This window comes from Homo sapiens, chromosome 5 (assembly GCF_000001405.40).
Source record: "Homo sapiens chromosome 5, GRCh38.p14 Primary Assembly".
NCBI classification, from domain to species: domain Eukaryota; kingdom Metazoa; phylum Chordata; class Mammalia; order Primates; family Hominidae; genus Homo; species Homo sapiens.
This window is the reverse complement of record NC_000005.10, coordinates 116,279,937-116,293,519: the sequence shown is the minus strand read 5'-3', so window position 1 is coordinate 116,293,519 and position 13,583 is coordinate 116,279,937. Positions and strand designations below refer to the sequence as shown.

Here is a 13,583-nt window from a genome sequence, read left to right as displayed (position 1 = left end):
TTTCTGAAATCAAATTTCTTCATGTGAAGCAAGTCATGTTTGAATCTCTCTCTTTTTGGAAACAATACAGAAATTTCATTCATAAAAAATTCAAGTTTTTTTTAAACAAATGTATGTAAATGTATTCATTACATACATTTTAACAAATGTACGTAAATGTATTCATTTACATACATTCATGGCATAAAATATACTATAATGTATATAATTAAAAAATGTACACTTCAACCAATCCTAAGACACAAAAATTTTATTGACAGAAATCAACGTATTTATGGAAAGAGAATATAAAAGGTATCTGATTCGAATAATGGTGCCCATTTAGCACTCATTACAATTATTTTATTCAAGACCTGATTCTGTCTCCCAAACTATAAAGTGAATCATTATTAATTTGCAGTATAAAGAAAAACACACAAAAACCTGGACTATTATTAAATCATTAAACTGAGAGAGAAACTGAAGTTGACAGAGAAGCTCAGACTGGAATTAACTGATACCATACTACTCACTATTTTACATTTCCTTCCTATATTATTTCCGAAGCAAAATATACTCATCATATTCAAATAAAAATGCCATAGTGTATTTGATTGTATATGGCTATTTTCTTAATTTTATTCATGTAATTACCAAAGCTCTGTATTCTACTAAGGTACACATCTTATCTTGTATCCATGGACGCTCCTTGATACATTATGGTATCATCCAGCAAGTAAAAACTAAGCAGGACAGGCAAGAAAGCAACACTATGACAGTAAAAACAATATGGTATTCACTTTTGTTTCCTTTAAAGGGAAAGTGTTCTTAATAATTACTGTTGGCTCACAGAACTAAAGAAAGTATATTAGAACCTCAGTATTCTTAACAATGATCTCTATTGGTTGTTATTTGTCTAAGAAGTGATAAGCCATATAATTTACAGAAAGCAAGTCACTGAATCCTTCAGAAAACACAACCTGGCAATGTATCTTCAATGCAAAATAATGAGGTGGCAGGAGCGTGATGAAAAAAACAGTCTTCGAAAACATCATGTAAGGGAATCCAGCTGTGCTTGTATAGTCTCTAGCTATTTACAAAGACAAAAAAAAAAAAAGACGTTAGTGAAGGGAACGAAACTCATATCAAGTGTTATTCAGACACATGCAAATAGAAAGGAAAAAATAGCACTGGTAACTATGAATATTAAATCCATTCACATAGCAATAAAATTACCACTTAGAATATTTTTCTTTTTAGGTGAAGATATTAGAATTTGTGCTTGAAAATTTAAGTTTTCAAATTTTCAAAGAAAGAAGATTTCTTAATACTGTTGTTTTAAGTGTCTTCAGCTGTTTCCTTTTAAATTATCACTCCATAATTTTTTTTTTAATGAGACATGGGGTTTTATTGGAGGCTTACATATGAGGGAGTGGGTACAGTGGTGGTGGGCTGAACAGGATAACCACACGCATGCTCCAGTGGCAGTACACTGGCAGAAGAACTGCCTACTTGATAATATTTTAAAGTTGGGGGGTGGAGGGAGTATATTTTCCTGGATTACAAAATCAGTCTTCAGAAAGAGACATGAAATATACTCACAGATAAATCTCTAAAGGCATGTTTCCCTTTACCCTTGGGCCCAGAAATTAAAGTATTTGACATTATATATATTTAAAGTGTCAGTGTGGCTAGGAATCACAAAGTTCATTACTTAATGTTTTATATTAAAGCAACAATCCTATTGCTTTAATTAAAACTATTTTCCTTTTCTTCCTGATTTAGTTTTTCAAATTCTCTTCATTTCTGCTATACTTCCTCCTGTGAAACATAAGGTCTTTTATAAGGGAAGTTTAAAGAACTTAGTTCCATAATATGACATTTAAAAATAAGAATTCATAAAATGAAACAAAATATTATGAAAAAAACTCCACATATTAGAAAATTATTTTAAAAATACAGACCTTGTTATAGAAATCAAACAACTCCTTGTGACTGAATTCCACAAGAACTTTCTCCAGGCTCTGTAAGGAAGAAAAACAACAAAAAGAATGTAGTTGCACACAATTTACATCACATTTTTTCTCTCCAGCTAACCTCAGAATATGACATAAGATTGTCCTCTGAGTGGTTTTAAAAAATGCTTACCTGCTCTACTCAACCCCATGATTCCTAGAACTCAAAAATGCACTTAATAACACTCTAGCAAAAGGTTTCAATTCTACAGACATCTGTCCTTTAAGTTGACTCTACGAAGGTTAATAAAACATATGCCAGTAAGAGAACAACTTTATTATCTAATTTTTTCAAGACAGAGATAATACATGAGATTATATTTCATCTTTCTCAGCAGTCTGTTTGAAATCTAGTAAATACCATTACACAAAGACACTGGAGGCAGGATATCTGATTGAACTCACCCAGCCATTAATGCCTCACATCAGCACAGCTACTGCCTCCAAGCACTAATCTAGCAGTTGTGATCTCAACATGCTGAGTGTTACCTTCTTCAATGTATAGACTCAGCAAAAGTTCACAATTAACACAACAGTTTCAAAGTCAGGACTTAAACACTCTCTTTCCTTTTACTTCACATGCATTAGAGAATCCTTTATGGGTGCTACAGATGCTAGGTAATATTGTATATGTATGTATGATGCTGTAGTAAAGTATGATATTAAACTAAACCCAACTCAACTCAATCCAACCTACTTTTGGTTGATTCTGTATACTGAGGAAACAATTCAAACAATTTGCTTAAGACTGCTCAAATGTGTTTATTTTACTCAAGGTCCCTCTGAAGAAGTGAAAGTTAATGAGGAGAAAATGCCAAGAATATGCTAACTGCTCTGATCACACTGCTGTAATCACATGACATAAAATGGGCATCATGAACTAAAGAAGTAGAAAACTGATGCAAAATTGAGCCACATGGTCATTTCCAACATACTGTTTATTCTAGTTCGCAGTTTCTATGTTCACTTTTATCTGTTTTAATGATTTCCATTTCTATTTACAAAGCCGACATTTCAAACCAAATTATCTCCAACTAATTCCAGAAGAGTCAATGGGGCTATGTTCAGAAAATGCATCTCACTCTTCATGAAGCTAAGTGTACAGGATCAAATTTCCATACTTCTTCATTTTCTCTCATATATCTAAGTACTTAAGCTTTAAAATGAAAAAAGAAGTACATCTGCTTTAAAGCCTCTTCCTTTAAGAATGATATAAAATCATGAAGTTTTTATACTATATTAGAAAAATTCATTGGCTGTCACACATCATTAAAGCTCCAAAGATTTAATCAGCATCATCTATACATAGTATATGCCCTCCTAGCAGTTAAGGAAGGATGATAAGCCTAGGTTTACCCTAAAGTTCTGAGAAAAGCAAGACAAGTTCATCACTCTCACCTCCATCCAAAAAGATAGGAGAGAATGAAGGCTGAATCAGCACGTAAACAACTGATCTGATGTACCCCTAAAGGTGGCAGTCAAGCCAGGTTCTTGTTTTCTATATTTTGCTTTGCTTTGTTTTAAGGTGGTGTTTCCTAAAATGTTACATTGAGGAAAGAGAAGAAATGTAACTTCGAAAACATACTTCTTAAAAGAACAATAGCTATAGGGGTAGACTAGAAAGCTAGAGGCCCTCTTTCCACCACTAAGGTACCAAGTTAACAATATACGGATCAGAATACCCTTGTGAGAACTTGAGAGACCAGTTGAGATGCTACAGCACCCACACCATTATAAAACCAAGAAGGAATTCCAATGAAAGTGGTAGGAAATGAATTTCACAGTGTTCAGTGTATTCATGCATGCCTCTCTCCCATGTGGAATAGCGGAGCAACCAAGAAGAACCCACCACCCCCCATGCCAGAGCTCCTCCCTCAGGACAGAAATAAAAGAATGAACCATACATCCAACATTCTGGCTTTCTGGGGGATTCCCAAGGAACTGGTTTCTGTATTAATTAAAGAAGGGCACTCACACGCCCAGCACCAGCGTTTGGAAGGCACTGAAAACAGAGGTGAGAGGCATATTAGAGCTGCAGTTCCACGGGCAGGTGCCAGAGGGAGCAAAATATCAGAAAACATTTGAGAGGCCCTAGAACTCCCAGCTGGGGTATTAGTGAAGGTCTTCCCCTGCACAAAGCCAGTATGCAAAGACTAGGGGAGGTAGTTGTCTTTCAAAATGCCCAGCAAAAATCACAAAGCATACAAAGCAATAGGGAAATATGGCCTAATCAAAGGAACAAAATAAAACTCGGGACACTTACCCTGAAGAAACAAAGGTCTATCAGCTACCTGACTGGGAATTTAAAATAACTATTATAGGGATGTTTAATGAGCTAAAAGAAGGCTGGGAGCGGTAGCTCAAATCTGTAATCCCAGTACTTTGGGAGGCTGAGGTGGGTGGATCACCTGAGGTCAGGAGTTCGAGACCAGCATGGCCAACATGGTGAAACCCCATCTCTACTAAAAATACAAAAATTAGCCAGGCATGGTGGCATGCACCTTTAATCCCAGCTACTCAGGAGGCTGAGGCAGGAGAATCACTTGAACCCAGGAGGCAGAGGTTGCAGTCAGCCAAGATTATGCCACTGCACTCCAGCCTGGGTGGTAAAGTGAGACTGTCTCACAAAAAAAAAAAAAAAAAAAAAAAAAAAGAGAGAGAACACCAACAATTGAAAACAATCAGGAAAATGATACATGAACAAAACGAGAACATCAAGAAAAACACAGAAACTATAAAAAAGAACCAAACAGAAATCCTGGAGCTGAAAAATACAGTAACGGAATGGAAAAACTTATTAGAGGTATTCAACAACAGTTTTAGGCAGAATGAAGAATCAGTGAACTTGCAGACAAGTTATCTGAAATCACTGAGCAGAGGAGAAAAAAGAAAGAAGAAATGTGAAGAGATGATAAGGGATTTAGGACAATATCAACCAGGTCCATATATGCATGATGGGTATTCCAGAAGGGAAAGTAAGAGAGAAAAAAATAAGAGAGCTTATCTGAAGAAAAAATGGCTGAAAACTTCCCCAATCTGTGGACAGAAATGTACATACAGATCAAGAAATTCAAAGAACTCCAACGAGGAAAATCCAAAGATAACCATACTAAGAAACATTATAGTCAAACTGTGTAAAGTCAAAGACAGAAACTTAAGAGCAGCAAGAGAAAAGTGATTTATCACATATGAGGGAGCTTCCATAATATTATCAGCAAATTTCTCAGCAGAAACTTTGAAGGCCAGAAAGGAGTAGGATGATATACTCAAAGTGCTGAAAGGAAACAAAAACAAAAACAAAAAAACTATTAATCAGGAATACTGCATCTGGCAAAACAGTTCTTCAAAAGTGAAGAAGAAATTAACATTTTCCCAGATAAAGAAAAGCCATGGGAGTTCATCACCTAGAGCTAATCTATACAAAATGCTAAAGGAAGTTCTTTAAGTTGAAATGAAAGGACAGCAGGCAAAAACACAAAGCTGTATAAAAATATAAGGTTCTCAATAAAGGTAAATACATGGAAAAATATAGTAATACGTAATACTGTAAATTTAGTATGTGAAATTTAAATGAAAAAACCCCAAAACAAAACAAAACCCATAAATCTATATTAATGTACATGTAATATATAGAAATGTAATTTGTAACATCAGTAACAAATGGAGAAGTGGAGCAGTAAAGGAGAAAGTTTTCATATGTGATTAGAGTTAGGTTGTTATCAGTTTGAAATAGAATACTATAACTTTGAGATGTTTTATGGATTTACAATGGTAACCACAAAGAAAATATCTGTAGAATACACACAAAAGGAAGTGAGAAGGGAATGAAAGCATACCACTAGAAAAAAAAATCAATGAAACACAAAGAAAGGCAATGAGAGAGGAAAGGAACAAGACATAGACAGCAACTAACAAAACGGCAATAAGTCCTTGCCTATCGGTAATTATTTTAAATGTAAACAGATTAAACTCCCCAATCAAAAGATACAGGCTGGTTAACTGGATAAAATAACAGAATCCAACTATACCCTGTTTACAAGAGACATACTTTAGATCTAACAATACACATAGGCTGAAAGTGAAAGGATGGAAAAAGATATCCCGTGTAAATGGTAACAAAAGAGAGCAGAAGTGGCTACATTAAAGTCAGACAAAATATACTTTAAATAAAAAACCATTACAAGACACAAAGAAAGACATTATATAATGACAAAAGGGTCAATTTACCAGGAAAATAAAACAATTATAAATATTTATGCACCAAACCTCATAGCTTTGGTGCATAAATACAGTAAGTTCTCAATGTTGTCACAGTTTTTTGAAAACTGCAGCTTTAAGAAAAAGTACAAACAACAAAGCCATTTTTTCCCTCAACATTATGATAAAAGGACACTGAACAAAATGACATTATTTAAAAGCCTGCTGTACATTGTTTTGCTTAAAGATGCAATTTCCAAGAACCTATCACAATGTTATATGAGGACTTACTGTATTTACATGAATCTAAATATATGGAACAAACTTTGGCAGGATTGAAGAAATTTGACAACAACACAATAATAGTAGGAGACTTCAATATTCCACTTTCAACAATGAACAGAATTATTCAGAAAATCAACAAGGAAACAAGATTTGAATAACCTTATAGACCAATTAGACCTAACAGACATATACGGAACACTCTAATCAAAAATAGCAGAACATGTATTGTTGAGTACCCATGGAACATTCTCTGGGATAAGACCATGCATTGGGCCACAAAACAAATCTTAAATTCCAGAAGACTGAAATCATACAAAGTATCTTTTCTGATTACAATGGAATAAAACTACAAACCAGTAGCACAAGGAAAACTGGGAAATCTACAAATACGTGGAAATTAAACACATTCTCATACAATCAATGGGCCAAATAAGTAATAAGGGGAACTGGAACTGGGAAATATCTTAAGACAAATGAAAGTGAAAACACAACATGCCAAAATTTTGGGATGGAGTGAAACTAGTGTTAAAGGGTTAAGTTTATAGCTGTTAAGTGTATAATGTAAAATACATATATATCTCAACTTAACAACCTAACTTTACATCCAAGGAACTAGGAAAAAAAAAAAACCCTAAGGTCAAAGTAAGCAGGAAGAAGAAAATAATATAGATTACAACAGAGATAAATGACATAGAAAAATCAAAAAACAATATAAAAATTCATAGAAATTGAGTTAGTTTTTTAAAAAGATCAATAAAATTGACAAATCCTTAGCTAGACTAATTAAGAAAAAAAGAAGGAAGACCCAAATAACTAACATTAAAAATGAAAGAGAGGACATTATAACAGATGCCATAGAAATAAAAAAGTGTTATAAAAGACCACTATGAACAACTGTTTGCTAACAAGTTGAATAACCTAAGACAAGATGGATAAATTCCTAGAAACAACCTACTAAGACTAAATCATGAATAAATAGAAAATATGAACAGATCAATAATGAATACAGAGATTGAATCAGTAGTTAAAAACTCCTCAACAAAGAAATGCCCAGGACCAGATGGCTTCACTGGACAATTCTACAAAACATTTAAAGAATTAACATCCATTGTCCTGAAACTCTTCCAAAAACTTGAACAAGAGGAGATACTTCCAAGCTTATTCTAATGAGGCCAGTATTATCCTGGTTCCAAAGTCAGACAAAGACACTACAAGAAAACTACAGACCAATATCCGTAAGTATTGACGCAAAAATCCTCAACAAAACACTAGCAAACTAAAGTCAAGAGCACATTAAAGGGTTTATACACCATGGTATACTACATATCATTATACAAGTAGTATTTATTTCTACAATGCAAGCATGGTTCAGCATATGAAAATTGATTAGTGTATTACACTGCATTAACAGAATAAAGGTGGAAAGACACATAATCATCTAAATTGATACAGAAAAGCATCTGACTTATGTCTGTCATAATCATTGCCATTTCTCTTTCAATCCATAATGACTTAGAGAAGACCATGGGGAATACAGCAGTGGTAAGTGTTTCATGTCTATTTGTAGACAGCATATACTCCATAGTCTTCCAAGGGGTGGCCCAGGGCAGTTGTTTTGTGGGGAAGTAAGAATGGAGCTTAGATGTGCAGGATAAAAAGGAAAGGGTGGCAGGCCAAGGGCCAACTCCCCACATTATCATGTTCTGACATAGAATCCCAAGGAGTCCAAAAATTTTAAATTTAAATCTGTCTTTCCAAGATATCAAGAAGTTATCTTATCAAGTAAGGAGTATAGAGCACATTTAAGAGTTCGGTAGCTTTTTAAATGACTTTTACATTTACATGTATGATATGGGTCTCCATTTTTACTCTTGTTTCAGGTCTTACAAATATTAGGAGTGGGTTTGATCAAAAGCTACCCTGGAGTCATTGCATTTTTAGGAGGAAAACACATTCAGCTTTCCTTAGGACTATAACTAGGAAGTCACAAGTTTGCTTATAAAACCAGAATCAACTAACTTCATTTTTTACCTGTCATAAAATGTACAGAAGGTTTTATCCATCAATTAAGTGGATTTTCAAACAATTTATCTTCAGTTTGAACACAAACCAGTTGCAGCCCCCACCCAACAAAGATATATGAAATGCATTAAGTTCAATGAAAGTTCAATTACTAGTATTAAAGGTGCTTCTCTTTGGATTGTCTAGGCTCTACATATTTCGTCCTTAATTTTATATACTTCTGGCCTATGAGTCAACTCATAGTTCATTAGTATCTTTGTTAAGGGAAGAAAAAGAGAAAATAAAATGAAATTCAGACCTGTCATCTTAGTTATCAGTAGCAACTCTAACAACAGACTTCATGGTGGAAAATGTAGAAACTCCTGGTTAAAGTAGTTTCATAGGCTGAATCTGACAATGTATATATAATTATCCATGTGCTTCCTGCCTACCACTGTCATTAGATAATGGAATTTGACTATTTGGACCTATTTTTTTCCTCAGAGTCAGAAAGATAGTCTGGATAATAAAATGTAGCATATTATGTCATACTGAATAAGAAGAGAATTACCCTTATGGCATAAACGACAGCTGTGAGTTATGAAAACACATCCACATCTTGTCATCCATAAGCCAAAACTATCTTGAATTAAACCAAAGTATATCTATCTAAATACATATATATACACACACACACACATACATACACACACACATACAATCCTTTAGATGATACTGTGCGTAGTTTTTAAAAATAGCTGTCTTTAGCATAAAAGTTAATGACATTACATCTCCATTCTTCCAGAAACCAGATACAAGGATATTTTCATATAATGCAAAATTGGATTTTAGGTTAAAAGATTTTAAAGAAATTAAATTTGCTGATCATTCTTTTTTGTTTGTTTATTTTTGAGATGGGGTCTTGCTCTGTTGCCCAGGCTGGAGTGCAATGGTATAATCACAGCTCACTGCAGCCTCGAACTAACTCCTGGGTGTAAACGAACCTCCTGCCTCAGCCTGTGAGTAGCTGGGATTAGAAGTGCGCTTCCACACCCAGTAAGTTATTTTTATTGTTTGTAGAGACAGGGTCTCACTATATTGCCCAAGCTGGTTTCAAACCCCTGAGCTCAAGTGATCCTCCCACCTTAGCCTCCCAAAGTGTTGGGATTACAGGCATGAGCCACTGTACCTGGCCTTTGCTGATAATTGTAACAGGAATTCTTTCAAAGGAATATAATAACTGGATATGTAATATAAATTATTTCTGGAAGGATTTTTTATTGGTTGTTTAACAGCAGTATCAATGGATACTGCCATTATGCAGTAAGACTAATACGAAACATTGATCAGATTTGGTTAAAAAGTTGTTATTTTGAGGCCAGGCCTCAAAATAACAGGTCTTATTTTGAGGCTTAAGCCTGTAATACCAGCACTTTGGGAAGCCAAGGCAGGCAGATCACCTGAGGTCAGGAGTTCGAGACCAGCCTGGACAACATGGTGAAACCCTGTCTCTACTAAAAATACAAAAATTAGCTGGGCGTGGTGGTGGGTGCCTGTAATTCCAGCTGCTCAGGAGGATGAGGCAGGAGAATCGCTTGAACCCGGGAGGTGGAGGTTGCAGTGAGCCAAGACTGTGCCTCTGCACTCCAGCCTGGGTGACAGAGCAAGACACTGTCTTAAAAAAAAAAAAAGTTGTTATTTTGTGATAGCTAGATAGGCCAAGATATTGATATACATACACACCCTTCCATACAAATGAATAAGTTTTAAAACATAAAGATGAAGTCAGTAAATAAGGTAGAGTTTTTGTTTTATTGCTGTCATCGTTTTTGTTGTAGGTAGAATGGTTGTTTTTGTAGGAGAGGTGATGGATTTTTACTGAGTCATCTGCAGTATTGCATGATTCCTCTTGAGATAAAAGCATTTATATGTAAGATGTTTTGGAGGCTACTGCAAATGATACCTGCTTAAGGGAGAATAAAGCAGGATAACATTTTTCTTAGTCTTCCATTCTTGGTTCTACAGAATCTTCTCTAATCTAACTTGCTTAGTTCCCACAAAACCCACCAGAAGTCTCTGCTCCTATGTGTACATGTTTATTCCTCGTCTATCAACTATGAGTTTAGGCTCTGTTATGGTCTGAATTCTGTGTTCTCAAAATTTTTAAGTTGAAGTCCTAACGCCTAGTACCACAGGAGGTGACTTTGTTTGGAGACAGAGCTTGGAGGTAATTAAGGTAAAATGTAGTCAATGAGGGTGGCCCCTAATCCAAATGAATGGTATCCCTAATAAGAGACAAGGATACAGATAATACAAAAGGAAGACCATGCAAAGACACCAGAGAAAGACAACCATTTACAAGCCAAGGAGAGATGCTTTAGAAGAAACCAAATTGATTTTAGTCTTCTAGCCTACAGAATTGTGATAAAATAATTTTCTGTTGTTTAAGCTACCTCGTTTGTGTTACTTTGTTATGGTCGCCCTAGGAAGCTAATTTAAGACCAAACACCTCTTCTGGGATAGATAAAAGAGATCTTTATCATAAGAGCAATGTAAAAGCATTATAGAGTTTTAGATATAAGAGTGATATAATTATGTTTACATATTTAAGAACTTACTTTGGCTTTTATTTGGAAATGAATTAGAACTGGCTGAACTGTATATGGAGAAACCAGTTTGGAGTTTCTCCAAACTACATTAGTCCAGGCAAGACACAGTGGCTTGATCAAATGTGATGGCAGCAATGACAGAGAAAAGTGAAAAATTCTGAGGTAATGTTTAGAGGTAGATGAGACAGCACTTGATGACAGACTTGAATTGGGATGAAGGGTAGTGAAAAAATAAAACGAGTCAAAAATGACTCTCAGGTTTCTGGCAGAAGCTGGAGGGATGGAACTGAGTGAGATTAGAAATTCTTAAGAGCTGCAGATCTGAAGAAGGGCAGGATCCAAAGTACAGTTTCAGACACAATTAGCTTGATATATCTGCAAGATTTCCTTGACAATATATGTCTGGAGAGCCAGAAAAGAGAATTTGGGAGTCACTGATATATTGATGATATTTAAAACCATGAAAGTACATGAAATTGCCCAGGAAAAGAAGGTATTTTCCCAGATCACATGGGACCAAAAAAAAGTAGTAGTATGAAAACAGAGGTAGCCTGAGGCTGAGCCATAAGGAAATTCCAATATCCAGGGTATGCAGGTGTTCAATAAATGTTGAATATCACCAGCTTCATTAACGTTTTCTGCACAGTATTTTGACATGTACAGTGCACATGCATTACATGAATCAAAATAAATCAGTAAACGAGTATACAGGCAATACAACTGGATGGCTTATTTTTAAATTTTCCATTTTCCTGTAAAACACATTGAAGTCACTAATATTGTTAACTAAATATAGAGAAACTGGAAGACTTTCTCTCTTCTGCTTGTACATATAAGATTACAACTAAGAACTTCCTTAATAAATGCATTACTTATATTGTCTATGCTGATCTCATGCATTAGTACCAAACTTGGACTTTCTGCACCTAATCTAAAAACAATGCAAAGTGAAACGAAAGTGAAAATGAAAGTGCAAAGATTAATATTCTGTCAATTTCTTAAAAGAAAAGAAAGATGTGTTTGTTCACCACCCATTCCTTTTTATTTTTAATTTGTAATCCTATCTATGAGTACCTAGATAATGTTGCACATACCCATTAGCAAAATTCCCATGGAAATAGAATTCAGTAAGGTCTTCAGAAAGGTCTGACTTGATGAAAGCTGACACTAAAAATACCCTCTGTTTTCCCATTAGTTAGGAATTAGGAACACATATACATTTTTCAAGACAGAAATGCATTAACCTCTTCACAAATTACCCAAGCAGAAATATCCTCTAAATAATACAGATATAAACTAGGTAAGAATTAAACCAAATTTACATTGCTTAGCTTTAAACCTTAAATTGGATATCAGAATTAGAAATGATGCAATTATCTTTTCAACTAGAAAATCAGGAGATAGAATATTTCAGTAAAAGAAATAGTACTAAACTCTTGTCCAAGTTGAATGTAAAAATACTTTGGTAGGTACTTAAAGAGGAAGTTTTCTTCTTAGTTACAGAAATAAAAGGCAGAGATAAAATGTAAATAATATTTCAAGTCTTACTGAATGAGTTTATAAAACAAAACTCATTAGGCACCATTTATTAAATATGTCTACAGATATATTCTCTATAACAATATAATTATAGATGATTGTAAACATATTCCAATATCTCTATTATTATTTGTTGACAATCTTTACTAAGCATCATTGTTCAAAAACCTAGAGATATAATTTCAGCTCCACCATAGGCTAAATAAACCATGAAACTCTACTTACATTTACAACTGTTAGTCATTTTTGTCATCCACTATATTCAGTCATTCAGTAAACATTTAAGAGTAACATGTGCTGCCCGAGAAAAGTGCTCATGATACAAAGATGAATGTACCATGGCAAGGAATAGACGTTTAACCAAAGAAAGATCCTTCTTTATGTCTGCAGGTTGCCTTTTATAACTAAGCTCCCAAATTTGGGAAGAACTGTACGTGGGGCAACGAGGGAGAATAGGATTCTCTTCCCATCTCTCCAAACCATGAAATCAATCTTGGCAACCAAAGGGATAATAATTGATGTCACAACCAGCTCTGGCTCAAAGGGCACCAGCCTGAGAAAGTGCAAGCAAAGCATCCTAGGCAGAGTGAATGAATAAATTTCTACTTTTCTGTGAGGCAGCCTGGCTACCCAAGATTCTTTCCAATTCTATGATTCAAGAATGTTGAAAAGTACACCTATGTATGCAAGTTAAACTAGTGAATGGAAGTAGGTAGAACCACGAAATGTCAGTAACAAAACACTTCAGCAGTATCCTTGCCCAATCCTCTTATTTAATAGATGAGGAAAATGGCGCCCATAACGGTGAAATAACTCATAAAATACATAAAAGTGAAACATGTCATTGTTCTTGCCATTGCATTACTGTGGTAACTTCAGATCGCTATAGCACTTTCACCTGTATATCAAGATAATACATAGAACCTATGTCCTAATCAGTTTGCACAATTACTTCCAT

The 13,583-nt window shown here is 34.7% G+C and overlaps 1 protein-coding gene across 2 annotated transcripts in view; it reads right to left on the bottom strand.

Annotated features, from left to right (window-relative positions):
• Window positions 1-232: 232 nt before the first annotated feature.
• COMMD10 (COMM domain containing 10) overlaps window positions 233-13,583 on the bottom strand; it is a 208,263-nt gene continuing 194,912 nt past the window's right edge. For both annotated transcript variants that reach the window (NM_016144.4, NM_001308080.2), the window contains exons 6-7: window positions 1,944-2,003; window positions 233-1,069 (exon numbers count right to left, since the gene is read on the bottom strand). In NM_016144.4, the coding sequence (NP_057228.1) occupies window positions 1,031-1,069; window positions 1,944-2,003 (99 nt within the window). In that variant the 3' untranslated portion in view covers window positions 233-1,030. The remainder of the gene's footprint in view (window positions 1,070-1,943; window positions 2,004-13,583) is intronic.